The sequence below is a fragment of the Homo sapiens genome, chromosome 21 (genome assembly GCF_000001405.40).
Source record: "Homo sapiens chromosome 21, GRCh38.p14 Primary Assembly".
Lineage (NCBI taxonomy): Eukaryota > Metazoa > Chordata > Mammalia > Primates > Hominidae > Homo > Homo sapiens.
The window spans coordinates 16145016-16165984 of NC_000021.9; the positions used below are offsets into that span (position 1 = coordinate 16145016).

Sequence of the window (20969 nt, forward strand, 5' to 3'; positions counted from 1 at the left end):
AGAGTTCTGTAGATGTTTATCAGGTCCATCTCATCCAGTGCTGAAGTCAGGTCTGAATATCTTTGTGAATTTTCAGTCTTGGTGATCTGTCTAATATCGTCAGTGGGGTGTTAAAGTCTCCCACTATTATTGTGTGGGAGTCTAATTCTCTTTGAAGGTGTCTAAGAACTTGCTTTATCAATCTGGGTGCTGCTGTGTTGGGTGCATGATGTTCCCTCAGTCTTTGAAATTGCTGACCTTTGGATTATTTTCTTTTTCTTTTATTATATTTTATGACCTTGAGGGTTTGATTGTGGTGTAGGGTGGATTCTGCCAACTTGCTTCATTTCCGGAAGATCCTAGGGGGCCAGTGGTCAGCTCCCAACCACTGGACTGTATGCTATCTTTGGGGGACTTGTATTGGGCCCTGACTTTGTTCTCCGGCTCCTTGAGGTTAGGAATCCACTGCGCGGGAGGGGCTGAGGGGTCCCAAGATCAGTGGTCACTACACTTCAATGAGTGGTGTCAGCCAAAGCATTTCAAAGTGTGGGGACAGCGGGATTCATCCTCCTTTGCGAATGCCCACAGCAGCAGTAGCAACAGCTGTGGCAGAGTACTAGCGGGTATTGTGGTGCCTGCCTCCCTGTGGATGTTTACCACGGTGGCAAAGGCAGTGCAGCTGGGGAGGGGGTGGGGCCCCTGCTGGTGACTGTGTGCAGGGTCCTGCTGGAGGTGGTATTGGCTCGGGGACAGGGTGCCTGCAGGCACAGGTCTAGGTGCCTTTTCTGTGCCCCGCAAGCAGGAGCGATCCCTCAGGGCAGGGGAGAATTCTGCTGTTCTTTGTTCAGTGTTAGTGCAAGGTCAGGGAGCTGGCAGGGGCAGGGATGGCTGGCTCTGTGCCTGCAAATGTTCCATCTGCAATGGTGGTCCGTCGGGGGAGGTGGGGTGGTCTGTACTCCCATGTGCTGGCAGGGCAAGGAAAGCAAAATCTGCTCTCACAGATGTGAGCCAGCAAAGTAATGTGAGGAGTTGCCTTGGGCCTGGGAGAATCTACAGTATGTGGGTGGGAGAGTTTGTGGGCTGGTGTGTGTCTGTAGGGGCCACCCCATTGGAACTCTCCACCAGTCAGACATGGCCCACCAGCACAGAAGCTATGCTGTGAGTCCCCAGGGCAATCGAGACTGCTCTGCCAGGAGGCATGGCCAGGCTGGGGCCCTGAAAGAGGGCAGCAAGCCAAGGGGTGCTCAAGTCGTACTTGTTATGTCTGATGTTCAAGGCTGCCTTGCAGAGTTCAGGTCTGACAGTTCCTCTAGGGCTAAAGTCTCCTAAAGGAGCAAGTCAAGTCTAGGGGGTGACTGTCCTTGGCTGTGCTATGTTATAGATGCTCTCGCATCAAACTCTCTGGGTTCCACATCAGCTGTCTTGTTGCCCCTACCACTTCTCTAAGCAGCTCTCCCTGCCAACTCAAATGCCCTTGATGGTCGAGGGATTTCCTCCTGCTGGAGTCCCAGAGCCCTGCGGTGAGGGTGGGTTGCTCCTTGCCAGTTCAACTCATCCATTTCCCTGGAGCCATTGTGAGCCAAGAATGAGTCCTGCTGCATGGGAGCTCCGTGCCAAGGTTCCCAGTTTTCTTCCCCTTCAGCTTAGCTTCTGTGTCTTCCCTCCACTCTTGGTGCCTTCGCTCTGCAGATCTGTTAGGAACAGATCTGTCTCCGTCCCTAGGTGGGAGCTGTTTCACCTGGCTGCGTCTAGTCAGCCATCCTACCCTCCCTCCTTTCTTGGCATTATTTTTCTAACAACATGTGCTTACTTTGTGTCTCTGTGCCACATTGTGGTGATTTCCTCAATATTTCAAACCTTTTTATTGTTATTATATCTGCTATGGTGGTCTTTGATAAGTGATCTTTGATATTACTATTGGAATTGTTTTGGGGCACCATGAACCTCCTGCATGTAAGAGGGCAAACTTAATTGATAAATGTTCTGATTGCTTCATAGCCTAGTCGTTCCCTTATCTCTTTCCCTTTCTTTGCTCTTCTCTATTCCCTGAGACACAACAATATTGAAATTAGGGCAATTGATAACCCTATAATCACTTCCAGGTGTTTGAGTGAAAGGAAGAGTCACACATCTCTCACTTAAAGAGCTAGATTAAGCTAGATTAATCTTAACAAGGAAGGCATGTCAAAAGCCATGACAGACTGAAAGCTAGGTCTCTTGCACCAAACAGTGTGCCAAGTTGTGAGTGCAAAGGAAAAGTTCTTAAAGGAAGTTAAAAGTGATACTCCAGTGACCCCAGTAATGATAAAGTGAAACAGATTTATTGCTGATATGGAAGAACTTTAGTAGTCTGGATAGATCAAAGCAGGCACAACATTCCCTTAAACCAAAGTCTAATCCAGAGCAAGGCCCCAACTCTTCAACTTTTTGAAGAACGAGAGAAATGAGAAATCTTCAGAAAAAAAGTTGAAAGCTGGCAGACAGTGATTCCTGAGGTTTAAGGAAAGAAACCACCTTTATAAGATAAAAGTGCAAGGTGAAGCAGCAAGTGCTAATAGAGAAGCTGCAGTAACTTATCCAAAAGATCTAGCTAAGAGCATTGACGAAGGTGGCTACATTAAACAACAGATTTTGAATGTAGATGAAACAGTCTTCTATTGGAAGAAGATGACATCTAGGATGTTTATATCTAGAGAGGAGAAGTCAATACCCAGCTTCAAAGTTTCAAAGGACAGGCTGACCCTCTTGGTAAGGACTAATGCAGTTGGTAACTTTAAGTTGAAGCCAATGCTCATTGACCATTCTGAAAAGTCTTAGTGACATTAAGAATTATGTTAAATCCACTCTGCCTGTGCTCTATAAATGAAACAACAAAACCTGGATGACAGCGCATCTGTTTACAGCATGGTTTACTGAATGTTAAGCCCACTGTTGAGACCCACTGCTCATGCACAGAGAAAAGATTCCATTTAAAATATTTCTACTCATTGACAATACACCTGGTCACCCAAGAGCTCTGATGGAGATGTATGAGGAAATTAATGGTATTTTCATGGCTGCTAACACAACATCCGTTCTGTAGCCCATGGATCAAAGAGTAATTTCAACTTTCAAATTTTGTTACATAAGAAATATATTTTACAATGCTATAGTTGGCATATATCATGATTCCTCTGATGAATCTGGGCAAAGTAAATTGAAAACCTTCTGGAAAGGATTCACTCTTCTAGATGTCACTAAAAACATTCATAATTCATGGTAGGAAGTCAAAATATCAACATAGCAGGAGTTTGGGAGAAGTTGATTCCAATCCTCATGGATGACTTGAAGGGGTTCAAAACTTTGGTGGAGGAAATAACTGCAGATATGGTAGAAATAGCAAGAAAACTGGAATTAGAAGTGGAACATGAAGCTGTGGCAGAATTGCACAATTTCATGATAAATTTGAATGAATAAGGTGTTGCTTCTTGTGGATGCAAAGAAAGTCATTTTTGAGATGAAATCTACTCCTGGTAAAGATGCTGTTAACATTACTGAAATGACATCAAAAGATTTAAAATATGACATAAACTTAGTTGATAAAGCAGCAGCAGAGTTTAAGAGGATTGATTCTCATTTTGGAAGAAGTTTTACTGTGGGTATAATGTTATCAAACAACATTGAATGTTACAGAGAAATCTGTCATGAAGAGAAGAGTCAATCTAAGTGGCAAACTTCACGGTCTTATTTTAGGAATTTGCCACAGACACCTCAACCTTTGGCAACCACCAGCCTGTTCAGTGAGCAGCCATCGACGTTGAGGCCCCCTGAGGAGGTCCCAGGCTGTGGCAGGGGTTCAGGCTGGTGGAAAAGTGGGAGAGAAGAGTCAGGGGACAATTGGGAAGTGTGATGATATGGGGAAAGAGGGATGGAGTGGAAGCCAGAACCCATTGCTTCCAGTATCAATCTTTTTCACTAGCAAAAAGGTTATAACTTGTTAAAGCCTCATGTGATTGTTAGAATATGTTAGCAATAAAATATTTTTAATTAAGGCATGAGCATTTTTTTAAGATATAATGCTATTGCACACTTAATAGACTACAGCATACTGTAAACATAACTTTTTTGTGCACTGGGAAACCAAAACATTCATGGAACTTGCTTTATTGTGATATTTGCTTTATTGCAATCGTCTGATACCAAATTGACAATATCTCTGAGGTATGCCTGTATTTTATCTTTATTTGTGATAAGTTCTTACACATTTGATAAAACAAGTTATTTATATTGAAATGCATTTGATCGTATCTCTTATTTAAGAAGAAAATTTGGAATTTTCCGTGAAAAAGCCTGCTGAAGTAATCACCCTCTGCAATTTATAAATATTAGAAACATTGGTCAAGTTTTAGAATATTTTATTGCCTATTAAATGTTATGTGACTGTGTTAAATTATTATATATTATTTGCATAGTGTGAAAGCTTACTTTTGCTTCACGAATTATTTTAAATGGAAAAAATTCTCAGTTATACTTGGAAGAGAAAAATCACATGTCCATTTTGGAGTGCATTTTAAATTGTGCTACAAAGAATGACAAAACACTGCAGTAAATGTGACGTTTGAAATTTTATAAGGAGTATGATATAAATACCACTTTTTAATAGTATTTATAAAAGTGGAGCCATGATACATTCTGGCTATAACAACCATAACAATATTCCATATTTTTAATAATATGAATGTTTTTAAAAATATTTTTCCATAGTTCTTAGAACAACTTTAGAATTCCTCAAGTACTTGTTTACATTTAGGTGTTCTGGTATTTCCTGTTTACATTTACCCTTTGCGAAAGGACAAAATCAAGACTATGATACCCTTTTCTCAGCACACCTGTCTCGTGTTGGATCTGTCTTCCCCTGGAAATGCTTCTTTTTTTTTTTTTTTTTTTTTTTTTTTTTTTTTTTTTTGAGACGGAGTCTCGCTCTGTCGCCCAGGCTGGAGTGCAGTGGCGCAATCTCGGCTCACTGCAAGCTCCGCCTCCCGGGTTCACGCCATTCTCCTGCCTCAGCCTCCCAAGTAGCTGGGACTACAGGCGCCCGCCACTACGCCCGGCTAATTTTTTGTATTTTTAGTAGAGACGGGGTTTCACCGTTTTAGCCGGGATGGTCTCGATCTCCTGACCTCGTGATCCGCCCGCCTCGGCCTCCCAAAGTGCTGGGATTACAGGCGTGAGCCACCGCGCCCGGCCGAAATGCTTCTTATTTGTTAGTGTGGCAGCGATGATAACAGCACCCCCAGACACCCTGGTAAATCGCTTCTCTCGAGCGCTTTGTTGTGGTCTTCGTTGAGTTCTGAGTGAGGTGTGAAATCTGAGAAGACAGAATTTGTTTTCATTCTTCAGTAAGTAAGTTAGCATGTGGTTGTGCCTAGCAGAGTATCTGGCACTTAGCGGGCCAGTTAAATAAACCTGGATTTAAAACCAGACTTCACAAAATTTGCTGGGAATCTTTTTTTTTTTTTATACTTTAAGTTTTAGGGTACATGTGCACAATGTGCAGGTTAGTTACATATGTATACATGTGCCATGCTGGTGTGCTGCACCCATTAACTAGTCATTTAGCATTAGGTATATCTCCCAATGCTATCCCTCCCCCGTCCCCTCACCCCACAACAGTCCCCAGAGTGTGATGTTCCCCTTCCTGTGTCCATGTGTTCTCATTGTTCAATTCCCATCTATGAGTGAGAACATGCAGTGTTTGGTTTTTTGTCCTTGTGATAGTTTACTGAGAATGATGATTTCCAATTTCATCCATGTCCCTACAAAGGACATGAACTTCTCATTTTTTATGGCTGCATAGTATTCCATGGTGTATATGTGCCACATTTTCTTAATCCAGTCTATCATTGTTGGACATTTGGGTTGGTTCCAAGTCTTTGCTATTGTGAATAATGCCGCAATAAACATATGTGTGCATGTGTCTTTATAGCAGCATGATTTATAGTCCTTTGGGTATATACCCAGTAATGGGATGGCTGGGTCAAATGGTATTTCTAGTTCTAGATCCCTGAGGAATCGCCACACTGACTTCCACAAGGGTTGAACTAGTTTACAGACCCACCAACAGTGTAAAAGTGTTCCTATTTCTCCACATCCTGTCCAGCACCTGTTGTTTCCTGACTTTTTAATGATTGCCATTCTAACTGGTGTGAGATGGTATCTCATTGTGGTTTTGATTTTCATTTCTCTGATGGCCAGTGATGATGAGCATTTTTTCATGTGTGTTTTGGCTGCATAAATGTCTTCTTTTGAGAAGTCTCTGTTCATATCCTTTGCCCACTTTTTGATGGGGTTGTTTGTTTTCTTCTTGTAAATTTTGTTTGAGTTCATTGTAGATTCTGGATATTAGCCCTTTGTCAGATGAGTGGGTTGCGAAAATATTCTCCCATTTTGTAGGTTGCCTGTTCACTCTGATGGTAGTTTCTTTTGCTGTGCAGAAGCTCTTGAGTTTAATTAGATCCCATTTGTCAATTTTGGCTTTTGTTGCCATTGCTTTTGGTGTTTTAGACATGAAGTCCTTGCCCATGCCTATGTCCTGAATGGTAATGCCTAGGTTTTCTTCTAGGGTTTTTATGGTTTTAGGTCTAACGTTTAAGTCTTTAATCCATCTTGAATTGATTTTTGTATAAGGTGTCAGGAAGGGATCCAGTTTCAGCTTTCTACATATGGCTAGCCAGTTTTCCCAGCACCATTTATTAAATAGGGAATCCTTTCTCCATTGCTTGTTTTTCTCAGGTTTGTCAAAGATCAGATAGTTGTATATATGCGGCATTATTTCTGAGGGCTCTGTTCTGTTCCATTGATCTATATCTCTGTTTTGGTACCAGTACCATGCTGTTTTGGTTACTGTAGCCTTGTAGTATAGTTTGAAGTCAGGTAGTGTGATGCCTCCAGCTTTGTTCTTTTGGCTCAGGATTGACTTGGCAATGCGGGCTCTTTTTTGGTTCCATATGAACTTGAAAGTAGTTTTTTCCAATTCTGTGAAGAAAGTCATTGGTAGCTTGATGGGGATGGCATTGAATCTATAAATTACCTTGGGCAGTATGGCCATTTTCACGATATTGATTCTTCCTACCCATGAGCATGGAATGTTCTTCCATTTGTTTGTATCCTCTTTTATTTCATTGAGCAGTGGTTTGTAGTTCTCCTTGAAGAGGTCCTTCATGTCCCTTGTAAGTTGGATTTCTAGGTATTTTATTCTCTTTGAAGCAATTGTGAATGGGAGTTCACTCATGATTTGGCTCTCTGTTTGTCTGTTGTTGGTATATAAGAATGCTTGTGATTTTTGTACATTGATTTTGTATCCTGAGACTTTGCTGAAGTTGCTTATCAGCTTAAGGAGATTTTGGGCTGAGACAGTGGGGTTTTCTAGATATACAATCATGTCATCTGCAAACAGGGACAATTTGACTTCCTCTTTTCCTAATTGAATACCCTTTATTTCCTTCTGCCTAATTGCCCTGGCCAGAACTTCCAACACTATGTTGAATAGGAGTGGTGAGAGAGGGCATCCCTGTCTTGTGCCAGTTTTCAAAGGGAATGCTTCCAGTTTTTGCCCATTCAGTATGATATTGGCTGTGGGTTTGTCATAGATAGCTCTTATTATTTTGAGATACGTCCCATCGATACCTAATTTATTGAGAGTTTTTAGCATGAAGGGTTGTTGAACTTTGTCAAAGGCCTTTTCTGCATCTATTGAGATAATCATGTGGTTTTTGTCTTTGGCTCTGTTTATACGCTGGATTACATTTATTGATTTGCATATATTGAACCAGCCTTGCATCCCAGGGATGAAGCCCACTTGATCATGGTGAATAAGCTTTTTGATGTGCTGCTGCATTCGGTTTGCCAGTATTTTATTGAGGATTTTTGCATCAATGTTCATCAAGGATATTGGTCTAAAATTCTCTTTTTTGGTTGTGTCTCTGCCTGGCTTTGGTATCAGGATGATGCTGGCCTCATAAAATGAGTTAGGGAGGATTTCCTCTTTTTCTATTGATTGGAATAGTTTCAGAAGGAATGGTACCAGTTCCTCCTTGTACCTCTGGTAGAATTCGGCTGTGAATCTATCTGGTCCTGGACTCTTTTTAGTTGGTAAGCTATTGATTATTGCCACAATTTCAGATCCCGTTATTGGTCTATTCAGAGATTCAACTTCTTCCTGGTTTAGTCTTGGGAGAGTGTATGTGTCGTGGAATTTATCCATTTCTTCTAGATTTTCTAGTTTATTTGCATAGAGGTGTTTGTAGTATTCTCTGATGGTAGTTTGTATTTCTGTGGGATCGGTGGTGATATCCCCTTTATCATTTTTTATTACATCTATTTGATTCTTCTCTCTTTTTTTCTTTATTAGTCTTGCTAGCAGTCTATGAATTTTGTTGATCTTATGCTCTCAGTTTTCTTGTGCATAAAATGGGAATAATAACTGCCTTCTGGAATTGTAGCGGGAAATAAATACAATTGTAGCTCTCGGGTGCTAAGCACAGGGCTGGGACCTAGTAAATGCTCAGTAACTGCTCATTACTCTTTTTTCTTATTTTGCTTCCTTTTTTTTTTCTTCACTGTTGTCTTTTTATTTTCTATTTTAAGGATATTGGCTTAGTAAAAGAAACTAAAATACATCTGCATATAAATTAAATAAATGCCTCATTTTTAAACATTCTGTGAGTGTCTATGTATAGCTGGTACCTTAATTGTAGTTGTTCAATAAATGATTTATCTTACTTTGGGAACTTTCTTAAAAAGCTTAAATCCCTCAATGTTAATAATAGTGAAAATCTTATGTTTGAAAAAATGCTTTTGAAAAACATATATTGGGTTACCCTTTTAAAGAAATATACTTAATATTGATATGAGTAATTTTTTAAAAGTAATCAAAGCTTTAGAGAGTAAGAGAAGAAATAAAAAAAAACAAAAACATTATGACAGTGTTTATATCCCTACTTATTAAATTCAACATGGAAAACAAGGAAGTAGAAAGTACTTTGTAAAATACCTAAAATGCCTGAATATAAGAAGTATTTGGATATTATAGATAACATTTTCTATACTACAATGTCACCTCAAATAGTGTACACACACAGTTATGAGGATATGATAGTCACTTAGAGGATTCATGCTGGGATTGAATAGTAGGACCACACATTTTAGGAAATTTTAAGCAGAAATGCTTTAGAAGAAATAGTCTTTATTTATTTATTTTTTTAAAAGAGCTTTTAAATTACTGAGTTCAAATACAGAAGAAGGCCTAAGTTTGAATTCATGGCGTATTGCTATAATGCACTATTAGACTAATCCTTCATTTTCTTGTCAATTAAAGACTTACCTTTATTCACTGATTCACTTATCAGTAATTCGCTCGGTATTTTAAAGCTGGCTGTTAAAAATCCCTTTGTTTATGGCAATAAGGCACCATTCATTTTGTGAACTTTATAAAACCAACCTCTGCCAATTTTGCTCTTTGAGAATAGCTCTAAAGATGTGTTCCCACAGTAATTACTGATTCCAGAGATGTTCATTAAAGAATGAAGTCAGAGGCAAGTGTTTGAAACAATTGTATCCCACCAAAGCCAGCTTTACTGCGCACCTTCCCAGAATCTACAGTTTCTCCACGTTTAAGAAAATCACTGAACAACTTCATACAAAATTTGTACTTTTGAGTGCTTTTACCTGCAGTAGCATTAAAGATGAGTATTATTTTTTACATATTTGTATTGAAATCAGATGCAGGGAAAGATGGAGGGAAAGCTAGGATGCTTTGAATGTGGGCCCAGTTGTCCGTCATATAGCTTCTGTGAATAGTATGGGTCAATCTTGTGTTCCTGCTCTATGTTGCCCACTTACCCAGAGTGACCAGGGTGAGAAAAGAAAAGGAGGGGAGAAACTTCAGTGAAGCCAGCCAAATCTTAGCAGAGAAAAATAAATAAATAAATAATAAATAAATAAATAAATAAATAAAATGGTTGTGGAGTTGAATATTTCTTTTAAAATGGATTTGTTATTGCAGAAGAGTAGGAAGAAAAGTTTAATTCTTTTATTAGCTTATTATCAGAACCTGAAATGCTGGAGTGTGTTTTAGGTACTGCATAGCTATCCTGCAGTTACAGCCCAACCTCCCACTGAGCCATAATGGGCAAAGGAAGAGAGAAAATTCACAGTGAGAGAGCAGGGAGAGAGAGATTTTGCTATCAGCCTGTCAGTGACAGATCTGAATGATAAACGCCTTACAGAAATGAAGTTACATTTATTTTTATTGCATGAAAATATATAACAGACAAAGGAAGGAAGTCAGAAAACGGGATTAGGTATATTTTCTAAATCTTTAGGTGTTAAACAGACTAGAGACCAGTCACTTGTAAATGAACACATTCCTTGTTTGGATGCAAACAACCCAGCCAAATTAGTTTCCTAAGTGCTTGGAAACAGCTTTCTGTTTTTGGCTTCCAGACCTGAGTTCTTTCATTCATACTATTTTTTTTTTCTTTTTGTTCAATCCTTATTAATCACCAATATTTCAAATACTTTGTAAATATAGATTGGTTTCATTAGAGTTAATGTATTTGGGGGCCAACAGGTTGAATGAATGATTTTATTTTAAAATTCCAAGATCCTGCCTGATACCTGGAGTATAATACTGAGCATCCTGAGGAGAAATGTTGCAATAGCAGGCTTTTGTGAACCATATCCCAAGAACTGCAGATCCTTGCACTGTGGTGACTGGGAACATTTACTCAGGATTCAGCCTGCTAGCATTTGAACACTGAGAGATTGTGGAATCTCTGTAGGCCTCAGCTTCTTCATCTGTAAAATGGAAAAGCTAATAATACCTACTTCAACATTTTTGTTTATTTTTTGACAGAGTCTGGCTGTGTTGCCCAGGCTGGAGTGCAGTGGCATAATCTCGACTCACTGCAACCTCCACCCCTCAGGTTCAAGCAATTCTCCTGCCTCAGCCTCCCTGAGTAGCTGCGACTGCAGGGGTGAGCCACCACAACTAGCTAATTTTTGTCTTTTTAGTAGAGATGGGGTTTTATCATGTTGGCCAGGCTGGTCTCGAACTTCTGACCTCAAGTGATCTGCCTGCCTCGGCCTCCCAAAGTGTTGGGATTACAGGAGTGAGCCACTGCACCGGGCCAACATTTTTGTTTTCATAAAGGTAGATTAAATGAGATTTCCTATAAACAACTGTGAGATCATTGCCTGGTGCATAGTAAGTGCTCAATAAATGTTAGCAATTAATATTACATACTGATGACTGGAGCACCTTTTTAAAAAAGTTATGCTTATTCCTAAATAAAAAATAATTCACATACCTATTACCAAAAATTCAGAAAAATAGAACTATAGATATAAACCGTATTTAGAAAATAAGAATCCAGTGTTATCTTACTACCTGACTGTATCTATCCACTATCAGTACAGCTATCAGATGCCTTTATTAACATGATCCCATTCAGGCTGGGTGTGGTGGCTCACACCTGTAATGCCTCTCTTTGGGGTGCTGAGGCAGAGCAGATTGCTTGAGCTCAGGAGTTCAACAACAGCCTGGCCAACATAGAGAAACCTCATCTCTACAAAAAAATACAAAAATGAGCCAGGCGTGGTGGCATGTGCCTGTAGTCCCAGCTACTTGCGGGCAAGAGGATCGCTTGAACCCGGGAGGTGGAGGTTGCAGTGAGCCGAGATCACACCACTGCACCACTGCACTCCAGCATGGATGACAGAGCAAGACCCTGTCTCAAAAAAATAAATAAATACATAAATAAAATGAAATAAAGAAAAAAGAAAGAAAATTCCTGTTAAAAAACACTTACTGTGTTTATTACAAGTTAATTATTTACTGCCAGTTCATAGCCATCTTTCCATCAATAAATATAGATGTACCAACTGATTGATGTTAGTGTCTTCATCATGCTCCATGCTCCATAGTGGTCCATAATTTAAGTAGTCACCCCTGGCATCTTAAATATTTTTTGTAAATATAGATAATAAAAATGCCTTCAGTCAGCACATTCTTGTTTGCTGTCCCTGGAGTGTTTGGATGACCATTAAAAATGGCAGAAGGCTGACTTGGTTTTTAGGCCTGAATTACAGCCCTGCCATCTACAAGCTGTGTGACTGTGAGCAAGTTACATAACCTTACTGTATCACAAGTATTTTTTTTCTCATTTATAAAATGATGATAATAAGAGTATCTAGCTGACATGATTGCTGAGCAGAGAAAGATGTTAAGACACATAAAGCTTTGGAGACTGGTTTCTGGTCTATGATTTTTACTCAGGAAGTATTAGCTTGAGGCTATGTAAAATCTTGGCATTTCTCCCAAATCATCAAAGGTAAATTATGTTATTCCTTTGAATTAGCTAAATTGTATTGCTATAAAAATTTACTTGCAATCTTAACATTTCACTGCAATATGTATGCATACTTTGGGATGTTTACATGTGAAAATGCACATTATCCTACACACTTCAATTCTCAAACCATGTTGGTTAGAGAAGAGATTAATAGTTATTTCTAGACACACTATACACAGAACAATTTGGAGAAAAATCACCATTGGACAGTAGCAACTAGTTTAATATTTGGCGTCTTTTATTTTCTCTTTTAACATTTCCAAGGAATAGGGGACGCTCTTGTCAATGACTTTTTTTTTTTTTTTTTGAGACTGTGTATCATTCTGTCACCCAGGCTAGAGTGCAATGGTGCTATCTTAGCTTACTGCAACCTCCGCCTCCTGGGTTCCAGCGATTCTCCTGCCTCAGCCTCCTGAGTAGCTGGGATTACAGGCATGCACCACCATACCCTGGTAATTTTTGTGTTTTTAGTAGAGAAGGGGTTTCACCATGTTGGTCTGGCTGGTCTCGAACTCATGACCTCATAATCCACCTGTCTTGCCCTCCCAAAGTGCTGCGATTACAGGCATGAGCCACGGCACCTGGCCAGTGACTAAGGTTTATTACACCACCTGGATAGATGCAGGGCTAGGGGCATGAAGACAGGAAGGTACTCCCACTTTTCAAGGACAGAATGTGGGGCGGGTGGTAAAATCTGAAGAGATCCTGAAAAATTGTCCTCCTTTAGGTGTTGTGATGTATTGCTTCTGCAATGGCCATCCAATCTTAAATACCTAAGTCTAGATATGGCATCCTTATTATGTAATTCTGGAACAAAAGTTACCCTAATAAAGAGCTTCAAACCCGCTAGGACCCACTCAAAATAGGGTAATAATACTCCAAGACATTCAGAAATTTCCTCTGTTCCCAGTGGGCTAGTCAGGACAGGGCAGTGAGAGCCCTCAGGCTAGCTCCCCTGGCCTCAGCAACTCCATTCACTTCCCCCAAAAGGGTCCTAAATAAATTTAAATTTCTCTATGTACCTCGACATGAAATAGTTGGAAAGCACACTCTTAAATGCCACTTTACTGACTGTACTGGCTAAAACAATGAGCTGTGTACGTATGAAAAAGAATGTTCATGTGTTTTCTTTGTCAATTACATTAATTTATACCCTTGCTAGTGTTTCTGAAAGAGACTAATAGTTCCCTCAAATACATTTAATGACCCAGTTTGAGAAATACTGTTCTAGAAATTAACACTAGTAATAATTTTGTGCTCATATGATTACACATACAAATATAAATTCTTGCAACTTAAACTCCATAGAAAAACTTGGATGTAACCTGGCTATGTGGATGAAAAACTGCTAATGTTAATATGTCTTTTAGCAGATGATCAAAATAAAAACAATACAATCTAATAATTCCCATAAACATCTGAAATCCTCTAAAAACATGTCTATGTAGACCATAAGGTAATATTATTCTAAAGCAATGATTCCCAGAATGTGCTCCCAGGGCAGTAGATCTGTATCATCTAGAAACTTATGGAAAGCTAATTCTTGTGACCCACTCCAGATTTACTGAAACAGAAGATGTGGAGGATGGGACCCAGTCAACTGTAGTTTAAGAAGCTCTTCAGGTGATTCTGATGTGCTCCAGTTTGCAAACCACATAATGAGGCTGAGTCCTTTTCAGTCATTCCACACCAAATGAGCACTGTCGTATGTTTACCTTAGGAAACATACCCTCAATTGAGTGGGGCTGCTGATATTTCAATTCCTTTTAAAGAGTTTGTCTCAGAGCCAATCTGTAACAAAAGAGAAATTCAGTTTCATTATTTTATAGTCAAATCTCATTAAGTAGTTGCTGAGATGTTTGTATGAAACTCAGATTTGACTTTGCCCTGCACTGTGAACAAAGACGATGAAACATTTTCACATTTGGAATGATTAGTCATCAGGAGATGCAGTCACAAAATTTTATTGAAAGCCTAATATTTATTCAAAAGCCTTTGATAGACTGCTTTTGGAACTTCTGCGACATTCTCCACCATAATATTGTTTAGCCTCTAACTCTCCCTAAATTGCCTTTGGTCAGAAAAGTTAACGTGGTTACTGCTTTGTTTATTTGACTTTCCTACCTCCTGATTCAGAGTAGAGTTAGCTTTGGAAGGAGACTAAGAGTCAAGCGCTTGCCTGAGTAAAACCTATTTTTGGCCAAGAGAACTCAAAACCAAAACCTTATATATATCCACCTTATTGCCCAGCTAACTTGGCTACTAATTTCTCTGCTACTATGAAATTCTCTTTCAAATTCCTAATTCATAGTCAAGTCTCATCTTGTTCCAGAGCAATTATGGTGGTTGGGAAGCCCAAGATGAGAAGGGTAACACAGGAACAAGGAAGCTGAATCCTAACAGTCAATCCTGCTTGTTCCTACTATCTCATACCTTACCAGCATTCCATCCTGAGGACTTAACTACCAACTTCAAGCTAGCCCATGTCTCATCTTGTGGTTCATCATGTCTCGTCATTTTGTGGCAAACTGTCCAGGATGACCCCCATTTTTTGCAAAAAAAGAAGACACAGAGGGGGAATAATCTTGGTTTTTCTCCAAACCCTAGATGTAGCTCATATCTGTGTTTCCTGAAGTTTTCTCTCTAGTACTCTTGCAGCCTGAGGCTTTTTCCAGAATCCAAGGGAGTGGGAAGAAAAAATGAGGGAAAGTCATGGTCCCTGAAGAAAGAGGGACGCTCAGTAAAGTCCAGCAGACAGAGCACCAGCCAGGGATGTGGTGGGCGGAGCCAAGGACATTAAGCTAAAAGAATATGAAACTTAAATCTATTGCCATGTCCCAGGGAAAAGTGGTGATGAAATTTCAATGAACAAAGCTTACTGTTATTTATCACTTTGTATGTACCTTTACTTTTTTACACAAATGAGATCATATCACATATTTCTTTTGAAACTGCTTTTTTTTATTTAAAAATTTATGACAGGCTGGGCCCGGTGGGTCATGCCTGTAATCCCAGCACTGTGGGAGCCTTAGGTGGGCGGGTCATCTGACGTTGAGAGTTCAAGACCAGCCCGGCCAGTATGGTATAACTGCGTCTCTATTAAAAATACAGAAATTAGCCAGACATGGTGGTGCATGCCTGTAGTCCCAGCTACTTGGGAGGCTGATGCAGGAGAATCCCTTGAACCCGAGAGGTGGAGGTATCAGTGAGCCAAGATCACGGGACTGCACTACAGCCTGGGAGACAGAGGGAGACTCTGTCAAACAAACAAACAAAAAAAGGAGACAAATATTTTTTAGGTCATAAACTTCTTCTTCTTCCTCCTCTTCTTCTTCTTCTTCTTCTTCTTCTTCTTCTTCTTCTTCTTCTTTTCTTCTTTCTTCTTCTTCCTCCTCCTCTCCTCCTCCTCCTCTTCCTCTTCCTCTTCTTCTTCTTTTCCTTATTCTTCCTTCTTTCCTCCTCCTCCTCCTCCTTCTTCTCCTTCTTCTCCTTTCTTAGTATATCTTTTTCTAAGCCTTCACAGTATAGGTTGAGCATTCGTTATCCAAGATACTAGGGACCAGCAGTGTTTTGGATTTTCGATTTTGGAATATTTGCCTATGCACAATGAGCTATCTTCCAGATGGAACCCAAGTATAAGCACAAATTTCATTTATGTTTCATATGCACCTTATATACATAGCCTAAGGTTAATTTTATCCAATATTTTAAATAATTTTGTTCATTAAACAAAGTTTGTGTCAAGTACTTACATGCGGAATTTTCTTTTTTTTTTCAGATCTTTCTTTTTTTTAATTTTATTATTATTTTACTTCAAGTTTTAGGGTACATGTGCACAATATGCAGGTTTGTTACATATGTATACATGTGCCATGTCAGTGTGTTGCACCCATTAACTCGTCATTTAGCATTAGGTATATCTCCTAATGCTGTCCCTCCCCCCTCCCTCCACCCCACGACAGGCCCCGGTGTGTGATGTTCCCCTTCCTGTGTCCATGTGTTCTCATTGTTCAATTCCCACCCGTGAGTGAGAACGGAATTTTCTACCTGTGGCATTGTGTCAGTGCTCAAAATTTCAAATTTTGGAGCATTTCAGATTTGGAATTTTTAGATTAGGAATGTTCAATCTGTATTCTCTTGTTGTATAAGATACCTATAAAAACCATCTTCTATACTTATTGCTTTCATTTTTTTTGACCAGACTCTTTTTAATGTTTTCCCATGAGTACTTAGAATAAAACCCTAAAATACCAGCATGAGCATTTGCACTGTTTTATTTGTTAATTTTAATATTTATTTATAACAATGATACTTTAAAATTTTTCAAAACCAAGACTATATACAAATATATACTGAGATGTTCCCTTTCCACCATTTTTATTTATTTATTTATTGAGACAGAGTCTCACTCTGTCTCCCAGGCTTGAGTGCAATGGCGCGATCTCTCTGCCTCTCGGGTTCAAGTGATTCTCCTGCCTCAGCCTCTGGAGTAGCTGGGATTACAGGTATGCACCACCGTGCCCAGCTAATTTTTGTATTTTTAGTAGAGATGGGGTTTCACATGTTGGCCAGGCTAGTCTCGAACTTCTGACCTCAGATGATCCACCCACCTTGGCCTCCCAGAATGCTTGGATTACAGGTGCCCAGCCAATTCATTTTTTTTCTGTAAAATTAATGCTACTCTGATGGCCCCTAATTCTGACTAAACTCCTTTCAGAATCTAGGATTATTAATCATCTTAATTTTTTTCTGAATTATAATAAAGTAGATAATAATCTGGGCATCTCAAATGCCATTTCTCATCCTATAATTCTGAAAAATATTGTTTAGTTGATGCCACACAATTCCTGGTAATTCTTTGGAAAAAGTTAATATGTGGGACAATATAATTGTCAAAAATAAACCTGGGATTTTTCTTCCATGATCTTCCATAGGTAGCAAAGGAGAATTAGTACAATTTAAATGTAGGCATGTTTCTGAAATTTAGGTTGTTCACCCATGGATACATAGTCTTACTAAATATCTTATTTCATATTATAACATTAAAGGGATTTATAAAGATTGAATATTATATTCTTACTTGAACCGATATTTTACTGCTTTTTTCTTATTTTAATTAGCATGTCAGTAACTGTAGAATGGTATCAGATAACCTTTAGTCTTGTTTATTTCCAACAAAACTTTTCTAATTCTTGAAAGATTAACATAATCTTGCACTAATTTGCATTCTAGTACGATGCTTTTCAACCTTGACTGCACATTAGAGTCACCTGGGGAGAGTTAAAAAATTCCAATGCCAAGGGCACCACAGACCAATTAAATATAAATATTTGATGGTAGGACCTAGGCCACAGTATGTTTTAAAGCTCCCCAGGTAACTCCAATGTGCCGCCAAGCTTGAGAAACACTGCTCCTGGGAAAGAAATAATTATCTAGTTTTTGTTCATTTTTTTCCAATTAGAATTTATTTCAGCATGCTTTCCTGGAAGTATCCGTTTTGTTAAATTTGGCATTGAAAACCAAAAACTAAAATAACAATTCTTTGTTTTTAGATTTGATGTGAAAAGAATAAATTCTCAGTAAGAGAAATCATATTGTGTGTAGAGTTTCAGTCTACATTTTGGAGTGTTGGGGAGAGAAGTTCATAGCTTTCTTCAGATTCTCAGTGTGATGTTTCTGTGGTAGGTAGGGAATTGACTGCAGGAAGAAACATGTTTTGTTACTGGTTTGTACCTGACCCTTGTCCATGTAAACACAGAATGCCCCTCTCTGAAGTGGTTATAATGTAATCTGAGTCGAGCATTGAATTCTGTGAGTGATGATTCTCCGCTCACACTATAGCAAACTATAAAACTTCCATGCACACTTTTAATGAAACAAACTAGCCACATGCAAAAGAGGGCAAATGAGTTGTGATTCAAAAGACAATCTCAGAATGTGGGTAGAGCTGGCATTATTTCTTCCTTATGATTGAATAGCTCATTATTATTCATGGGTGAACTAAAAAGTAAAATCTAGTAGTTTGGAGAAGTTTTTATCCAGCTGTGGAAAGTAGCTCAGTGGGCAAAAACTCTCCTCTGTCCTGTTAAAGAAGAAATGGGGGCTTTCTAGCATAGGGAAAAGATGGTTGTCATCAGAAGTTGGGGCTACTTTGTCTTTAAATATAATTTTTCATGTGTATACTTCTGAGAGAAGTTATGTAGTAGAAAATTCATAGAATTTTAATTTGAAAAGACATGATCCAGTGGCTAGTGAGAAGAAGGAGATCATTATATAAAAATTTTGGGGTGGGGCTTGAGGGGAGAACAGAGTTGGATTTCTGATTCTCAATTTTATTTCCTGCTATTGAATAAGATACTAGATAATATTCATTGGATTACTTTAATATTTATGGGTTTTTTATATAATAGAAAGTGTTTTTTTCCCCTCAGACTTTTCTTGTAAATCCTATAGGCCATTGATTTTTCCATTCTTTGTGAATTGGATATTTTACTAGGAATATCCTGGTAAAAGTCTAAAGATTTATGTGGTAGTCTACCACTATCGTATGGCTTCACTCACTGAGGTTTCAGCTACTCACCGCCGACCAGAGTTTGAAAATAAATTATTACAGTAAAATAAGGTATTTTGAAATAGAGACTACATTTGCATACCTTATATTACAGTATATTGTTTTAATTCTTCTATTTTATGATTAGTTATAGTGTATATAGGGATTGATACTATTTTATTAGTAGTCATCGCATATATAGGGTTTGATACTATTAGCGGTTTAGGTATTCGCTGAGGATCTGGAACATTTCCTCCACAGATAAGGGGGGGCTATTGTAGCATTCTTCCTTAAGCTACTGCTTTCTCATACACTCTCCCAGAGTACATGTATATTTTCTCTTCTTTTCTTTTCTTTTCTTTTTTTTTTTTTTTCTGGGAGGGAGTCTTGCTCTGTCGCCCAGGTTGGAGTGCAGTGGCGTGATCTCGGCTCACCACAACCTCTGCCTCCCGGGTTCAAGCGATTCCCCTGCCTCGGCCTCCCGAGTAGCTGGGACTACAGACGCCCACCACCATGCCCGGCTAATTTTTTGTATTTTTAGTAGATACGGGGTTTCACCATGTTGGCTAGGATGATCTTGATCTCTTGACCTCGTGATCCACCCACCTCAGCCTCCCAAAGTGCTGGGAGTAGATGTATATTTTCATTACAAAAGCAATTATATTGGCAAGGTGATGTATTGAATCCCATGATAGTTATTCTTTAATTTAGAGGACATAATGTTACTGATTTTTGTCTGGAGCCTCAAACATACCCAATTACAGGACAACCTGCATTGTTACTTTTAATGAATTACATTTGATACCAGGATTTTCTTCCTTCAGACTTCTTAAAGCATGCTTTCAAATATACTGGCCTGCCAGTAATTTCACCCAATTTGTTCCCTTAGATAGGGTAATTTCATCAAAGTTTTCCCGCATGGCCAGAATCTGTATTAGCTATTTGGTGTGCTATAAATTTAAAAGCTAGTAGTATTCTTCCCACTGCTTATATACAAACAAAAAAACAGATGTTGTGATTACACTGTAATGTTCCTGCCTAAAGTAAATTTAGATGTAAGAATATCGTCTTTATAGGTATTGTAGCAAAGTATGTCATTCTTTCTCATTTAGCTTAAATGGAGGTTTAATAAAATTGCTACTTATCAAAAGAGAAACTCCAGGGGAAGACTAAATAAATGAGGTGATATTTTAAAAGTTAATGAATGAGGTGCCTTGATCTGTGGTTCCATTATACTCTTTTCATTGCTTCACAGAGCTCTTAAAACATAAGATGTGATGAAAAGAGTAGGTAAGCTAATTTGAACATTGCCTTAAAACGTAGGCAGTGAAACACTCTTATTATGCCTACCAAGGGGCTGAGAGTAGAAAGTCCATTATTCTAGAAAACATTAGGAGGCAAAATGTAAAATGCAAATTAATCTTCTTTATAATATAATGAAAATTAAAAGTGAACTGTGTTTAAAGTGAGTAAAGCTGTAAAAATTTGGTGAAACAAACTATAATAAAACATATTTTTAAAATTTACTTTAACCATTACTTTGATGATATTACTGATAATTCTACTTTACAAGACTCATTTGTGTTATATATTATGAGCATAGTTTTATAATCAGTATAGATCACACTACTAATGCCAACTTATTTCACATTGGTGATTCTGAAACTTCTTTATTTTGGATGTCTATATGGCTGGTTTTAACAAAACTACTAAAACATCCTGTACTTAATTAGGACTCTTTTTTCACAAGCAACCAATTCCAATTTGAGCAAATTTAAACCAAAAATATATGTATTAAACAGCTGCTGGATTATCTCATGTCATCTAATAGTAAAAAAAAAAAAAAAAAAAAAAAAAAAAAAAAAAAAAAAAAAGGCTTGTTCTTTAGGAGAGACAGAAACTGGATCCTTAATGTCTGCTGAAATATTTTCTCTGTGCTCGGTCTCTGCTTCTTTCTGTGTGTCTATCTCATCTCTGTTTCTATGCCAGCTGTTGATTCCAATCCTCAGAGAAGCTGGACTAGGGTTCCTCCACATTTATGAATTTAC

The 20969-nt window shown here is 38.6% G+C and overlaps 1 long non-coding RNA gene across 5 annotated transcripts in view, besides 2 other annotated features; it reads left to right on the forward strand.

Annotated features, from left to right (window-relative positions):
- Positions 1 to 20969, forward strand: part of MIR99AHG (mir-99a-let-7c cluster host gene) — a 561240-nt gene that overhangs the window by 74528 nt on the left and 465743 nt on the right. The gene's annotated exons all lie outside the window — the stretch shown is intronic.
- Positions 367 to 867: an enhancer, noted in NCBI's record as "H3K4me1 hESC enhancer chr21:17517702-17518202 (GRCh37/hg19 assembly coordinates)". NCBI's record gives its function as "activates a minimal SCP1, AML or CMV promoter by ChIP-STARR-seq in primed H9 embryonic stem cells {active_cell/tissue: H9 hESC(primed)}" and the evidence as "EXISTENCE:reporter gene assay evidence [ECO:0000049][PMID:30033119]".
- Positions 868 to 1368: an enhancer, noted in NCBI's record as "H3K4me1 hESC enhancer chr21:17518203-17518703 (GRCh37/hg19 assembly coordinates)". NCBI's record gives its function as "activates a minimal SCP1, AML or CMV promoter by ChIP-STARR-seq in primed H9 embryonic stem cells {active_cell/tissue: H9 hESC(primed)}" and the evidence as "EXISTENCE:reporter gene assay evidence [ECO:0000049][PMID:30033119]".